The sequence below is a fragment of the Homo sapiens genome, chromosome 6, assembly GCF_000001405.40.
Source record: "Homo sapiens chromosome 6, GRCh38.p14 Primary Assembly".
Lineage (NCBI taxonomy): Eukaryota > Metazoa > Chordata > Mammalia > Primates > Hominidae > Homo > Homo sapiens.
The window spans coordinates 138192649-138209831 of NC_000006.12; the positions used below are offsets into that span (position 1 = coordinate 138192649).

Genomic DNA, 17183 nt, shown 5'->3' on the forward strand with positions numbered 1-17183 from the left:
GGTGTCCATGTTGCTGAGACCCCTTGCAGGACAAGACAGAGCTGGGGCGCTCCAGAGCACTGTAAATGTTAGGCTGGCCCTGGGCAGTCAGGACTTTGACTAACATAGCTTCTTATCAGATCATTCTAACACTGCTTGAGATAGGTAATATTAGTTCCATATTTTTAGATGAAGAAAGTAAGGGTTGAAGAGGTGAAATGCTTAGCACACAGGTTGCCATTGTCAGGGCCTGAATTTGACCAAGAGTAGTTTGACTCCAAACATTTTTTTTTTATGATAGTCTGTTTTCTATCCATTTGCTACATTGTAGCCAGAGTTCCATTTGGTAGAAAATGTCTAAGATTACATTATTCCTTTGATTAAAAATCTTTCATTAGCTCCTCATTTTCAACTGGCTAAAGGTTAGTTTCTCTGAATGGTATGCAAGACCCTTCAAAAGCTGGCTCAAAGCTCCTTTGTGAAATCATTTCACACCAGTCTTCCCACTGTGACTTCCCTATCAGGTCACAATGGGACTTTGGCTGCTCCACGAACCCCCTCTGTACCTTTGCATTTACAATCTCATTTGGGAATGTCCTTTTCTTCTTCACTGAGCTGACCAAGTTCCATTGTCTCCTGCAGTTCAAGGCCTAATGAGTATCACCTTTTTATGAAGACACTTGCATTTTTCTAGACAAAATCTCTCCCACTCTCATTATACTTCTATAGTTGGTTGTGTATACCTTCATACAAGTGTCATTACCTTGTACCTATGTTTCCATATTATCACATGTCTGTTACTTCCTCTAGACTATGGGTTCCATATAGGCAGGAACCGTGTGTCTCATTCATCGTTATGTGTCTAACATTTCACACAGCGCCTGGACATGTAGTAGGCTAAATAAATATTTATTAAAGAAATGCTCTATTTATTACTAAAACTCTTATGTACTTCTCACAAATGGATTATTAGTCATTTAGGAATGCCAATTTTAGTTCTGACTGTTGTGTTAACTGGTAATGGATTGGTTTCATAAGGCATTTTGACACCATACCTGGAAATTTTTATTTCCTAGAAAACTGTTACTTTAGTTGACCATTTTGCAGTCATGGTACTTAATTTATAAGAAATTATAATACATCTATTTATACATTATTTGTGAGCTTTAATAGGCCAGTGAGTCTTGAAGAGAATATGAAGTCAGTCTTTTTTTCTCAAAATTATTAGTTTTGTTTTGCTTTTAAGTTACCTGTCTTTTGTAGCATAGATGTTTCTGAAAGATATTTATGCCATAGAGTTGTCATTTTTTTAAGAGGTAGCTCTACAGTTGCATAAGGTTATCAGCATATAAAAAAGACGATGGAGCCGGACGCGGTGGCTCACGCCTGTAATCCCAGTATTTTGGGAAGTGGGTGGATCACCTGAGGTCAGGAGTTCGAGACCAGCCTGAACAACATGATGAAACCCCGTCTCTACTAAAAATACAGAAATTAGCCAGGCGTGGTGGCGGGCGCCTGTAATCCCAGCTACTCAGGAGGCTGAGGCAGGAGAATCACTTGAACCCAGGAGGCAGAGGTTGCGGTGAGCCAAGATCATGCTACTGCACTCCAGCCTGGGTGACAGAGCAAGACTCCGTCTCCAAAAAAAAAAAAAAAAAAGATAGTGATGGTATTTTCCCACTACTTTTCTCTTGTTCCATAAAATTAAAGTGTTTGTGTTAGGAACCTGCTGCTGCTGCTGTTTGCATTTGCCACTCCTTGGCGGAAGGGCGCTGCTCCTGCTGGAGATTCCGGGCAGGGTGCTAACTCCAGATTGCCAGCTGGAGCATTTTCATCATGAAAAAAATCATTAAGTAACAAAATGCATGTGTTCTGTGATCCAGGGCAGGGCAGAGCAATTTCCATAGGCATGTTTCATACTGTCAGTATATCCACACTCTAAGGCTGAAAGCTTGATTGTAGGAAAACATGTCACAGAAAGGAAAGAAGCAAGGTTAAGTAGACTGATTTTAAATGACGTATTTGGCTAAGGTAACTGTATTTTAGGATCACAAGCCTCACTTCAGTCAAGAAGGCTTTAGGGAGAGGAAACAATTCAGGAAATGTTTGAAAGATGGTAAGGACATTTCTCTAGGGAGAAGAAAAAGAGAAGCTATTCCAGGAATATTGCTCAGTTATTGATAAATTGGAAAGGGTGGTGACTGGATAGAGGAGATGAAGTTAGCATGGAGGAATTCAGGAAGGATGACATTGAGGCCATTAAGGGAAACAGGCATTCAGTGTTCAGGCCATAAAGCTTTGAAGGAAAGGTAGAGCATGTGCATGTACTTGTAGGCTCAAACTAACTTCACCTTTTCCCTAATTTTTTTTTTTTTTTTTTTTTTTTTTTTTTTGAGATGGAGTCTCACTCTGTCTCCCAGGCTGGAGTGCAGTGGCGTGATCTCGGCTTACTGCAACCTCTGCCTCCCAGGTTCAAGCGATGTTTCTGCCTCAGCCTCCCGAGTAGCTGGGACTACAGGTGCACACCACCACATGCAGCCAATTTTTGTATTTTTTAGTAGAGATGGGGTCTCACCATGTTGACCAGGCTGGTCTTGAACTCCTGACCTCAGATGATCTGCCCTCCTCGGCCTCCCAAAGTGCCAGGATTACAGGTGTGAGCCACCGCACCTGGCAACCTTTTTCCTAATTCTGAAGGTAACATGTTTTATTCTTGAAGATATTTAAAATGTAGAAACATGTAAATAATAAAACCAAAATCATCCACATTCCCAAAAGGCAAAGTGTTGGGGGAAAGTTCTTTCCAATCTCTCCCCCTCTCCTCTGCCTATGCTGTATGTGTGTGCAAGGTTTTATTCAAGAGGACAACCATGTACGGTATATAATCTGCATGATAGTCTCATATTTTTGTATAACATTTTCAAAGTATTTTCCTGTGTCAAAAAAACTTTAGAATACTTTTAGTGATTATGTATTATTCTGTTCTATAGATGTACTGTGATTTGTTTAACCTCAGTTACATTATACATAAAGATACAGTAAACATCTTTACATAGAAAACTTTGCTATTATCTGTGACTATTTTCTTAGAAAAGGCTCCTAGAAGAGGAAACCCTAGTTCAAGGCATACCAATATTTTAATTTCTTTATATATATTGACAAAGAGCTTCTTACGAAAACCTTAAAGAGCAGACGCTTTCCACGGTGCCATGAGAAGTGGCTGTGTGAGGAATTAAGTGTGTCTGTGGGGCTGAGGAGCAGCTTACAGCATTTCACGGCAGGAAGTTGTAAAATTGACATGTGGGAGATAATGTGAGGAAATGTTAAAATGGATTGACAATGGACAGAAAGAAAGGAGTGTCTTGGTAAAAAAAAAAAAAAAGAAAAGAAAAAAAAAGATCTTCACTGGCTTGCTGTATGTAAAATGTTTAACCTCATTCTTGGAATGTAGTTTGAGATTGACAAATGGTAACCATTAAGGTCTCATGTGCTAAGGCATGAGCTCAGGGGTCTGGTGCCTGCCCTGCCTCTTGTCCAGGAGTGATTTTTTTCTCTTTCCCTCTGTCCCTCATCAGTAAATGCCAATAATACAGTCATGCATGACTTAATGATGGGGATAGGTCCTAAGAAATATGTCATTAGGCAAGTTCATTATTATGCAAACATCATAGAGTGTGCTTACACAAACCTAGATGATACAGTCTACTATACACCTAGGCTGTAGGCCTATTGCTCCCAGGCAACCTGTACAGCATGTTACTGCATGAATACTGTAGGCAGTTGTAACACAATGGAAAGTGTTTGTGTAACTAAACATAGAAAAGGTACAGTAAAAATGAAATACGGAAGATAAAAAATGGTACACCTGTATAGGGCACTTATGAATAGAGTTTGCAGGACTGGACGTTGCTCTGGGTGAGTCCGTGAGAGAGCAGTGAGTGAATGGGAATGCTGAGGACATTATTGTACACTGCTCTAGCCTTTATAAACACTGTACACTTAGGCTACACTAAATTTATTTTTAAAATGTTGTTTCTTCAATAGTAAGTTAACTGTGGCTTACTGTGACTTTTTTGATCCTTTAAACTTTTTAATTTTTTAACTTTTTGATTCTTTGAAGTAACACTTTGCTTAAGACACAGATTGTCAGTTGTACAAAAATACTTTATATCCTTATTCTATAAGCTTTATTTTCTTTTTCTTTTTATTTATTTATTTATTTTGAGACGGAGTTTCGCTCTTGTGGCCCAGGCTGGAGTGCAGTGGTGTGATCTCGGCTCACCGCAACCTCCGCCTCCCGGGTTCAAACGATTCTCCTGCCTCAGCCTCCCAAGTAGCTGGGATTACTGGCAGGCACCACCACGCCCGGCTAATTTTGTATTTTTAGTAGAGATGGGGTTTCTCCATGTTGGTCAGACTGGTCTCAAACTCCTGACCTCAGGTGATCCACCTGCCTCAGCCTCCCAAAGTGCTGGGATTACAGGCATGAGCCGCCATGCCCGGCCTTTAAGCTTTATTTTTTAATTTTTAAACTTTTTGTTAAGAACCAGGACACAAACACACATTAGCCTAGACCTACACAGGGTCAGGATCATCAATGTCACTGTCTTCCACCTCCATATCTTGTCCCACTGGAAGGTCTTCAGGGTCAGTAAAATGCATGGAGCTGTCATCTCCTATGATACCAATGGCTTCTTCTGGAATGCCTCCTGAAGGACCTGCCTGAGGCTGTTTTACAGTTAACTTTTTTCTTTATAAGTAGAAGGAGTATGCTCTAAAATAATGATAAGAATATAGAAAATACATAAATGAGTAACATGGTTGTTTATTATTATCAAATGTGATGTACTGTACCTAATTGTATGTGCTATGCTTTTATACAACTGGCGGCACAGTTGATTTGTTTACACTGGCATCACCACAAACATGTGAGTATAGTGTTGCATGATGTTAGGACAGCTATGATAGGAAATTTCCCAGGTGATAGGAAATTTTTAACTCCATGATCATCTTATGGGACCACCGTGGTCCGTCATTGACGGAAACACCATTGTGCGGCACATGACTGTATTTGTCCATCCTTATTGAGTGGTTGTGAGAGTTGTTGGGATCAAGTGCCTGAGCTCTCAGCACGGTGACTGGCATGCTGGAGGTTTTAATGATGGCACTTCCGTGACTCAACTGCCACTCTCCTTACATCAGTCAAGCTTAAGAAGTATTTTCTTCAGATTATGCAAGTATACTCTAGAGTTATTGTATTAAAATCGGTACAAATGGAAAGTATAAAAAAAGAAAAAATTCTCCCATGCCACTATCTGGAAATACCCACTGCCAACATTGAGCTGAGCTCTTTCTTAACTAATGCCCTAATTGATTTGCATTGGTGTATATTTATGTTTGTTTTTCTGCTTGTTTGGATTTTTCTTATATACATGTGTGCTTTTTATGAGAAAATCATGGACAATAAAAGTTGATGTCTTGAGGTAAAGTATAGGCATAACCATTTTATATTATTTAGAATTATTTCTACTAGATTGAATCATGAAATTGCCAATATTCAACCTCTTCTGACCTACACAAATGCCAATTTCATATGCTCAACTTAATAATTGCAATAGGCTTGCTAAAAAACCTTGAAAGCCTGCAGGAGAAAAGGGATTTTGTGTTCACAGCTATATCCCTAGGGCCTGAAACAGTGCCTGATGGGTGAATCCAATCTTTGTTTTGAAATAGAAAAGCATTGATACTGATAAAAATAATTTCATTAAAATAGAAATGAAATGGAAACATTTTAACTGCACTGTAGAGAAAATCAATTAAGGAACCAATTTAGTTCCAGTTGGCTCAATGGAATTGGCCCTGGCAAAAGCTTAATCAATGAAAATTCATCAATGTTGGTGTAAACTGTTTAAATGTAAAGGACCCATATTCATTAACATGAATAATAACAACTTGAGTGTCACCACAGTGAGGGTAGAAACCTTTCATATGCAAATTAGGAAACGGCATGACTACCAGGAAAGGTGCTGGCTGTGGCTTGAACTCAGCAGCTAGTTCCAAAGCCAGATTTTTTTCCACATATCCAAACTGCCTACACCTTCTCATAACTACACACCAACTGTCAACATAATGCATTGCTTCATGAATTATCACTCGAAATAAGAAAGTTCACATTATTTGTTTGATGCCTGTCCCCATTCTTAACATAGTGGACCTTTGAATTACCACTTTAAAGCAGTGTGCCCTACGCATAGTTGGTGGGAGCTGACTCTCCGTGTAGACGTTATGGCGTAGGCTTGAGGACATAGATTTTCAAAACAAATTGGCCTAGCCTAGGCATGGCAGCACATGCCTGTAATCCCAGCACTTTGGAAGGCTGAGGTGGGAAGATCATTTGAGGCCAGGAGTTTGAGACCAGCCTGGGCAACATAGTGAAACCCTGTGTCTATTTAATATTTTTTTAAAAGAAAAGAGATGGTCTAAGTCTGCATCACACTCTGTCATTTGCAAACGTATGACCTTGTACAAGTAACCTAATCTCTCTTAGTTTCAGTTTGGTTGAAAATTAAATGTCTACCTTCAAAAGTTATAATTAAATAGTAAATAGGGACATGTGTAGCATGTTACTTTGTAAGCCACATCTAAGCCATTTCAACCAGACCTATGATTATGATGTGAAGAAATTCAGACAGTTATTTGATAAATGGCTTAGATCACAGAATCCTAGAATTTTAGAGTATAAGCAGACCTCAGAAATGTAAGATATCTTTGTGCCTCTTCTCACCCAGAGCATCAAAGAGGAATCAGCCTAACATTCAGGAATGTATTTGGGGTTACTTAAAGTTCGCATTTTCCCAATATTGATTCTACCCATCCATGAGCATGGGATGTGTTTCCATTTGTTTGTGTCGTCTATGATTTCTTTCAGTAGTGTTTTGTAGTTTCCCTTGTAGAGATCTTTCAACTCCTTTGTTAGGTATATTCCTAAATATTTTATTTTTTTGCAGCTATTTTAAAAAGGATTGAGTTCTTGATTTGATTCTCCACTTGGTCACTGTTGGTTTATAGAAGAGCTACTGATTTGTGTACATTAATCTTTTATCCAGAAACTTTGCTGAATTCTTTTATCAGTTCTAGGAGCTTTCTGGAGGAGTCCTTAGGGTTTTCGAGGTAAACGATCATACCATCAGCAAACAGGGACAGTTTGACTTCCTCTTTACTGATTTGGACGCCCTTTATTTCTTCCTCTTGTCTGATAGCTCTGGCTAGGATTTCCAGTACTATGTTGAAGAGGAGTGGTGAGAGTGGGCATCCTTATCTTGTTCCAGCTCTCAGAGGGAATGCTTTCAACTTTTAGCCATTCAGCATTATGTTGGCTGTGAGTTTGTCATAGATGGCTTTTATTACATTAAGGTATGTCCCCTGTATGCCAATTTTGCTGAGGGTTTTAATCATAAAGGGATGCTGGATTTTGTCAAATGCTTTTTCTGCATCTATTGAGATGATCATGTGATTTTTGTTTTTAATTCTGTTTATATGGTATATCACATTTATTGATTTGCATGTGTTAAATCATCCCTGTATCCCTGGTATGAAACCCACTTGATCATGACCATGCTGCCAAAAACAATCTATAAATTCAACACAATCCCCATAAAAACACCACCATCATTCTTCACAGAGTTACAAGAAACAATTCTAAAATTCATATGGAACCAAAAAAGAGCCCGCATAGCCAAAGCAACACTAAGCAAAAAGAACAAATCTGGAGGCATCACACTACCTGATTTCAAACTATACTATAAGGCCATAGTCACTAAAACAGTGTGGTACTGGTATAAAAATAGGCACATAGACCAATGGAACAGAATAGAGAACCCAGAAATAAACCCAAGTACTTGCAGCCAACTGATCTTCAACAAAGCAAACAAAAACATAAAGTGGGGAAAGGACACCCTTTTCAACAAATGGTGCTGGGATAATTGGCTAGCCACATGTAGGAGAATGAAACTGGATCCTCATCTCTCACCTTATACAAAAATCAACTCAAGATAGATTAAGGACTTAAACCTAAGACCTGAAACTATAAAAATTCTAGAAGATAACATTGGAAAAACCCTTCTAGACATAGGCTTAGGCAAGGATTTCATGACCAAAAACCCAAAAGCAAATGCAATAAAAACAAAGAAAAATAGCTGGGACCTAATTAAACTAAAGAGCTTTTGCATGGCAAAAGGAATAGTCAGCAGAGTAAACAGACAACCCACAGAGTGGGAGAAAATCTTCACAATCTATACATCTGACAAAGGACTAATATCCAGAATCTACAATGAACTCAAACAAATCAGTAAGAAAAAAACAATCCCATGAAAAAGTGGGCTAAGGACATGAATAGACAGTTCTCAAAAGAAGACATACAAATGGCCGACAAACATACAAAAAAATGCTCACCATCACTAATCAAGGAAATGCAAATCAAAACCACATTGCAATACCACCTTACTCCTGCAAGAATGGCCATAATCAAAAAATTTTAAAAAGTAGATGTTTTTTGTGGATGTGGTTATCAGGGAACACTTCTACACTGCTGGTGGGAATGTAAACTCGTACAGCCACTATGGAAAACAGTGTGGATATTCCTTGAGGAACTAAAAGTAGATCTATCATTTGATCCAGCAATCCCACTACTGGATATCTACTCAGAGGAAAAGAAGTCATTATTCAGAAAAGATACTTGCACACACATGTTTATAGCACCACAATTCACAATTGCAAAATCGTGGAACCAACTCAAATGCCCATCAGTCAATGAGTGGATAAAGAAACTGTGGTATATACATACAATGGAATACTACTCAGACATAAAAAGGAATGAATTAACAGCATTTGCAATGACCTGGATAAGATTGGAGACTATTATTCTAAGTGAAGTAACTCAGGAATGGAAAACCACACATCGTATGTTCCCACTGATATGTGGGAGCTAAGCTATGAAGACGCAAAGGCATAAGAATGATACAATGGGCTTTTTGGGGACTTGAGGGGAAGAGTGGAAGGGGGTCGAGGGATAAAAGACAACAAATATGGTGCAGTGTATACTGCTGGGGTGATGGGTGCACCAGGATCTCACAAATCACCGCTAAAGAACTTGCTCTTGTAACCCAATACCACCTGTACCCCAATAACTTACGAACAAATTTTTTTTTAAAAAGTTCACATTGGTGCTTGTATTGAAAGATAATTATTGGTAAATCCTAACTCTTCCTTTGTTCCCTATTTTAATTTCCCTTTGTCCATTGTTACCTGTTAGCCTAATAAAGCTGGTCTGTTAACCATGACTATGCAGTTAAGGAAATAGGTTCAGTCTCCTTGACATGACCAGATGCAGCATCACAGTGCGGATGATGCCTTCCTCATGCATATGCAGCACTGCTAATTATTCTTCTTTAAGAAATAATGGCATGTCAGGACATGAAACCTGGGGGCCACTGCCTTTATTTAGTTAGGCAAGAATAAATTTGCACGTGCCTGTGCATAAAAAATAATCGCCTAATGTAATCGAATGTTGGTTTTTGCTATGCCCTTTTCCCAATGAGGCAGCATCTAGAAAGATCAAAAGATGATTTATTCCAGTACAGTGTGTGCAAAGGGGATTGAGTGTGTGCCATGTTGCATTTTCATTATAAATTTCGTCCTGAGACCCAATTAACAGGCCTGTTTTCTCTTTCATTAAAATCACTTTTAGAAAAAAAATGAAGGTAGGAGGGTTTTTATGATATCACAGAGCAAGCAGCAAAATTAGTTATGCCCCATGAATTTCCTTCTTTTGCATATGGGTTCATTTCCAATTGAAGTCAGGGTCTGAGGCTTGTGATACTACTCTAGGGGCTGCTGGGTCTGAGGGGATGAGAGGCCTTGGATACAGATTATTATGGCCCTGCTGCCAACCATGTTACTACTACAGTAAACTGTTTTCATTCACGTTGATTTTTGTTAGCTGTTTAAGAGCATTAGACTGGTGGGTACACTTTTGTTCTTACTAGTATTTACTAGCAAAAAAAAAAAAAAACCCTGTTTTTAAGCATTTCATTTTAAGTAAATATCTGTTTTGTTGTTGCAGATACGGTCAGAAGCAACTACTTTGCAATAAATAGCACTATTGACGTAGACATTTTCTTAAAATATTGGTCCTCAATTTCAACAATAGAATTTTATTTACTATAAAATTATAGTAGCCTACACATACACCTACACACACACACACATGCACACACACCCACACACACACACACACATAGCTACCCAGGGCTCAGTGTAGCATCTCTTCAAAGGCAGTCCTAGCAGAACCCCAGCCAGGTTACACTGCCCTCTTCTCTGATACAGACCTTGAATGTTGAGCAGAGCTCTTTACCCTAAGGATAGGGACTCCTAACTTGGGATCCATGTAGAGTCGAGGTTTGGGGACCTGTGGATTCCCTGAAATGATAGGCACCCTCCTCTAGGAAGAGGGTCCTTTGCCAGATTGTGTGTATGTGTGTGTGTGTGTGTGTTTAAGAACTAAAATGGGTTAAGAAGCACATCTATTCTAGTTTTGCTCTGATCTTATGAGACCAAAGGAGGTTGGAAGGAACTTGGTCTTGGGAGTCAGATGAATTTGGGTTTGAGTTGTCTCCAACACATTTTAACTGTGTGGCCTTGGGCAGGCTACAAAACCTTTCTGAACCTCAATTTTCTCAAATTTAGAATAAGGGCAAGAAGGTTGTAGTGAAAGTTAAGATGAGATAAATAATAAGTGCTAATCTTCATTTTTCTTTCTTTGTCCCATGAATACTAATGAAAGCAGGTGCCTGTTGTGACCTGTTCTTGCTGGCTCTTCCCTAGCTCTCAGCATGCTGCCTGGCACACAGGAGGCACTCAAATATTGAATGGATGATCGGATGGATGGTTGAATGATGGAGTGCCTTGGTTTAATATCCAGATGAAATCTTTGTCTATAGTGATATTTCCCCAAATCATTTATCTTCTTTTTTTTTAAGACCAAGTCTCACTCTGTTGCCAGGCTGGAGTGCAGTGGCACGATCTTGGCTCACTGCAACGCCTGCCTCCCAGGTTCAATGATTCTCCTGCCTCAGCCTCTTGAGTAGCTGGGACTACAGGCCCACGCCACCATGCCCAGCTGATTTTTTTGCATTTTTAGTAGAGACGGGGTTTCACCATGTTGGCTAGGATGGTCTCTATTGCTTGACTTCGTGATCCGCCCTCCTTGGACTCCCAAAATGCTGGGATTACAGGTGTGAGCCACCATACCCGGCCAATGCATTTATTTTCTAAGGGAGATCTTGATGCCATGCTTGCCTCTGCTATGACCTTCCCAGGACAGTTAGCCCCTGTTCTGTGCAAAATCTTTCTGGGTACATAAAAAGATTCGAGGCCAGGCGCGGTGGCTCACGCCTATAATCCCAGCGCTTTGGGAGGCCAAGGTGGGCGGATCACCTGAGGTAAGGAGTTCAAGACCAGCCTGGCCAACATGGTGAAACCCATCTCTACTAAAAATACAAAAAATTAGTTGGGCATGGTGGTGGGCACCTGTAACCCAGCTACTTGGGAGGCTGAGGCAGGAGAGTTGCTTGAACCTGGGAGGCAAAGATTGCAGTGAGCCGAGATCGCGCCATTGCACTCCAGCCTGGGCAACAGGAATGAAACTCCATCTCCAAAAAAAAAAAAAAAAAAAAAAAAAGATTTGATTTGCCTATCCCATGCTGAAGATCATGATCTGCATTGGGCACTTTGTCTATATCAATGCTGGACAAACTACAGCCTGTAGGTCAAATCTGGCTTTTTGCCTGTTGTTGTAAATAAAGTTTTATTAGAACATAGTCACATTCATTGATTTACTAATGGTCTGTGATTGCTTTTGTGCTTTAGCAGAGTTGAATAGTTAAGACAGAGACCATTTGGAATGCATGGTCTAAAATATTTATTATGGGGCTCTTTACCAAAGAAGTTTGACAACCTCTGATACATATATTATTTACATATTATCTACATATTATACTCCAACTCTGCAGGATTGGTCTTCAAATGCCCTTTTTATGGATAAGGGAGCTAAGACCCACAGAGTTTAGTATTTCAATTGAGACTGCAAAACTTATCAATGCCTAGCATTTGGATTCACGTCTGTGTGATTCCACAGCCCATGTTCTTTCTACTAAACACTCATATCTTTCAACTCAGCCAAAACCTAGTTGAACCACCTTCATCTACCAGTCCTGCCTTGTGACCATGGCTTGCATGGGGAACAGTTCAGTGATGTCTCCTGGTGGTGGTGCAACCTGGAGATCCTAGCATTTGTCAACAACCTGGCTCAGGTCAACAGTATCACTCGTGTGAATGTATAAGCAGGTGAGAGAGTGGAATAAGGATTTCAAGGGCTAATACTGCAGATGGCAGTAATCCACAGATGGCAGAGTAATATAGATAGGCGAACATATTGCTGCTTTCCAAGGGTCAACACATTGAGGATTTCCAAAAGGGTCTTTGTTGCTGCTGGACATGGCATCCAATCTTGTTGGGTGCCCTTGGTGAGTAATGTGTAAATATTTGTACATTTTTAGCTCATAGCTACGGGATATATTTCCTCTTCCCTGGGCTATTAGGCTGTAAGACTTTTGGACCCCCATGCTTGTTCCCTGCTATTATGCCCTTTCATTGGCCAATCTGACTCCAACTTCAAGTGGAAAGTTCTTTCACAGTGGATTAATCCTGGTGGAAATTTGATTGTTTCAGGGGTTTACAGATGAAGTTCTGTGCTGCTTCTGTTAGCCTACCATCTGCCCTTGGTTCCTACTTCTCACTCTATCTTCATACCTCCGTTTAATTTTTCTAAGCTCTTAAACTGGTTATCATTGCATAAAGGAAACAAAATTGGAAAAAAATCAGCTATTCCTGCACTAATTGAGTGCACTACAGTGTTTGCCTTGTAATTGTGACAAGCCGACAGTAAGATAACAGTGACAAAGTTACAGCCACCCAACTGGATGTAACAGAGTTGGGTAATTTATCCATCTGTCAAAGGATGAATCTAATGAAAAATGGCTGTAGTGTTAACTGTCATATAAAAATGGATACTGTAACATTGGGTTGTTGAGGGGCACGGTGAGGGTTAGGAAGGCAAACATTTTTCCTGATGGTCTGTTTTTGTAGTCTGTGTGGCTGGCATTATATTAAGGAGTGTGTGACTCTCGCTTCATCGGTTATGAAGCTGCTGATGGAAGGATTCCATGGAAAAGCAGCAGAGCTGCAGAGTGGACAGGGAGAAATCAGAGCTATAATTAACTTTGTATTTCATTGTGTTCTACAGCAGTAACCCTTATTTCTCCAATGATGAAATCCTATAGTCTAATGTGGTAGCTTTCACACTCTAAAAATCAATATATCTTTCAGTTTATGCTGAAAATATAAAACAGATAAGAGTGGGCCTACTCTGGTTTAAGTGGGGGTGGAGAAACCTGGTAAAATGAAGTCACATTTTATTTTTGTGCCAGTGTAACTCCATAGGGAAATAATGGGTTGATTAAAATTCTTGGTCTGTCGTTTAATTATTTAGAGTAGATGCTTCTAACAGACATTTTTGTCTTTGTAACTCTTTAGGTTTATTCCTAAAATATTTTAATGCCCTTGTTTTCCCTAACCTTTAAAATATCCAAATATCTCTCCTTTTTTTTTTTTTTTGTCTCTCCCCTGACACTAGATAATGTTGCATCTAGGCACCTCTTATCGGCCAATGCTATTGATGGTTCATTTGTATTTCTGTCTTGGAAACATGTTCATTAAGAACCTGTCACAAGACTCAGATCTACTTCTTGATGGAGACTATAAAGCAAATGTTAAATTTATAAATTGTTGAATTCTTTGAGTTGAGGAGGAATTGACAAACTAATAGAATTTTGATGTATATTGATGAGACAGAGTGCTGATGGTGATGCATATAATTTCCAGGTAAGGAAGAGGTAGAAGCAAGGCATAGAAATCTACTTAATGATGCTTCCTAGAGTTGTTCACCCCCAGGTGTGCTGGGTGTGAGCAGTGCTGTTAATTTGGGAAAGAACAAAGCATGTTCACAGACTGGCCGGGGTCCCAATGTGTACTAATGAGTGTACCAGGTAATAATTAGTGAAAGTCTTTGTGTTTGCTCTTCCTGTAGCCATACCAAGAAGGCAAGGGGTTGATGGGCTATCATTTCTGCACAGCTTCTTTGCTGTGTTTTCTCTTAAGCCCATGTGCATTTTTATTATTGGTTATAGTTTTTGTGTATGTGTGTAGTGGCATTTGGGGGTGGGTGTACATAAGGCTTACATCACTTGACTGCCAGCTTTACTGAGCTCACATGTTGTCCTTATTTTTGTGTTTGCCAGGGAGAAATGCCTGCTGCCTCTCCAGTTGGCTTTGGAATCCAAGAATGTGAAGCTGGCCCAACATGCTTTGGCAGGGATGCAGGTATGGCTTTGACTGAATGCAATGGGATGATAGAAATTGACAGGCCACTTTGGCATTGAAAGGGCAAATAGTTAACATTTTAAATACTGGCTGTTTAAAGACTCAGGCAGAAATTTGATTGAACTAGGAAATAACTATAGAGAATAACAGGATTTTCTTATATTCACCAGAATTTCTCTGTACACAGCATTATTTCGTTGAACCTTTGTGATCAGACACTGATTCATGTGGACCTAGCTAAGCCCACACAGATAGGGATTTTTTTTGTGTGTGACATCTTTCAGGAGAGTAAGGGATCCCAAAAAAGAGACGACAAGTTCATACCAATTCAAATCTTGTATACTTTCAACATCTATGGTTCTATATAATAAAAATTGATGGTAAACTGGAAAGATTTTGTTTTGTTTTTTATTCCACGGTTAGATTGATGAATGGATTATTATCTTTTATGTCCAGAGCAAGACTAGGAAGAAAAAAGAAATTTGGTTTAACAAGAAAAGCCAGATTTGCTTGAATACATTTTTTTGGTTTGTGTTTTACACCAAACATAATGGATCTAATTCTGATGGTAAAAAGGTGATGACTATGTAAATATACATACTTTTTAAAGTGGTTGGCCTCTAAGAGAAAAGCACTGTGAAGTTGAAGCCTGCAGGAGTTTGTTCAGTGTGGCGATGGATAAACCATGGTGGCATTTGTCAGATTTTTTTTATGTCAGTATCAACTGCTTCATAGTTAGCTTTTTGAGTTCAGAGAGGTTCCCAATACCTTTTAAGAGATAAAACCTATGAAATAGTGAGAAAACAGTTCTTTTTCCCCCAGCAGATTGGAATTAATGTATATTTTTATACACAGCAGCATTTGAATATTTTAAACATTAGCAATAATGTTATTAAAAACCTTTTGCTTTTCTCCAAGGTAATTGGGCCAACCATAAAAATGGTTGAGAATTTGTTTTGATCTGTCACTTTTGTTCCTTTTTCTCTAATGTTGTGTAGATTTTGCATTTAGCTTCTCTCTCTTTTTTCTTTAACCCTGGAATATTCTAAATTGCAGTGCCATATTTTCAAGGGCTTACTGAATCGTGTTAACTGAAGCAACTTGGTGGGCTGTGAGTCTTCCCTTTACCATCCCCTGCTACCTCCTCTTAACTTTAGGCATATTTTTAGAGCGTCTCAGTTTTTATCACTTTAAGTAAAAATAAATTGTATGTAAACTCTAATTCTGAGCTTTCCTGAGTATACCACATGATTCTGAAAAAAAAAATCCTTTTGAAAGAATATAGGCAAAATTTCAGGGAGTCTTAAGTAAAAAGGTTTGAAATATTATTTTCAAGGTCTTCAGTGGTGTGAAGGTAAAAGAGGGAGTTATTACACTGGATGGATCAGAATTCTCAAAGTTCTTCACAGGCTGCAACTCGAAGCCCCTTTGGAAAAGAACAAATTGAATAGGGATAAATATAAAGGTCTATACTGGGGTCTCAAAAATCAATTGCACCAAGACAGCATGGAGGAAAATAGCTTAATTGCAGTCCTTGTGAATGAGAATTAGGGGTTTCAGGGTGAAATTGTATGCCTCATTCACAGGCATAGAATGTGCTGTGACAACCAACTAAGCTCATTTGACCAGAGAATGTGATCCAAATTATGTATGTTAATATCAGACCACTCTTGAGGCCACATTCTAAGCACAAGTGAAACCTTATCTGGTTTCATTTGGAGAGAACATTTGGAGGAGCCTGAGGAGGTTTAGTGTGGAGAAGACAAGACTTAGGTGGACCTGATAGCTGGTTTCAGATATTTTAGAAGCTTAATCTGTTTGTCTCTGGGGGAAGATGAAGGAGTAGAAGTTGTGGGCAGGTGGATTTTGGTACAATCTGAAAAAGAATTTTATGAAAATGAGAAAGAGATAGAAAAAGCCTATCCTGTGAGGTAGACTCCTGGAAGTCCTCATAACAATGAATGTCTTCTTGTTGAGGTTTTGGGGGGGATGCATTTTCTGATGGGGACATACATGAAGATTTCTGGATTCCTAAATAATTCCTGGATAAATGACAGCTCACATTAGGAAGTAAAAAGATAAAAACCTGAAAAATGATCTTGTCTACAAGACCTTCTTTCCTGTGACGAAGCCACATTTAGAAAGCATATGTGTGTGTGTGACTAGTGGGTAGGGCTAGCTTCCTCTTAGCACGATCATTCTCCATTCCCACCACCTAAATACTTTGTATGGCCGGCACATTAGGGTTTCACTTGATGGAACTTAGAATGAATAATCCAATAGCAGGAAAAGGTCTTTGCCAAAAACGGTTTATTCAAGGTTGCATGCAGTTTTATTTTCTTTAGAGACAGAGTCTTGCTCTGTCTCCCAGGCTGGAGTGCAGTGGTGTGATCTTGGCTCACTGCAACCTCCGCCTCCCGGGTTCAAGCAATTCTCCTGCCTCAGCCTCCCGAGTAGCTGGGATTGCAGGCACCCGCCACCACGCCTGGCTAATTTTTGTGTTTTTAGTAGAAACGGAGTTTCACCATGTTGGCCAGGCTGATCTCCAACCCCTGACCTCATGACCCGCCCACCTCAGCCTCCCAAAGTGCTGGGATTACAGGCATGAGCCACTGCCCTGGCCGCATTTTTCTTTTTAACGGCACATAGCGTAAGTTCTTTCTTAATGGCCTCCAGCTACACGCCTCCCCAGTAAGAAAACTGATCAT

At 39.5% G+C, this 17183-nt stretch overlaps 1 protein-coding gene across 2 annotated transcripts in view; it reads left to right on the forward strand.

Annotated features, from left to right (window-relative positions):
* Positions 1 to 17183, forward strand: part of ARFGEF3 (ARFGEF family member 3) — a 182725-nt gene that overhangs the window by 30710 nt on the left and 134832 nt on the right. For both annotated transcript variants that reach the window (XR_001743524.2, NM_020340.5), the window contains exon 3: positions 14394 to 14475. Coding sequence is in view for 1 of the 2 variants with exons in the window: in NM_020340.5 (NP_065073.3) it covers positions 14394 to 14475 (82 nt within the window). In the remaining variant the exon portion in view is untranslated. The remainder of the gene's footprint in view (positions 1 to 14393; positions 14476 to 17183) is intronic.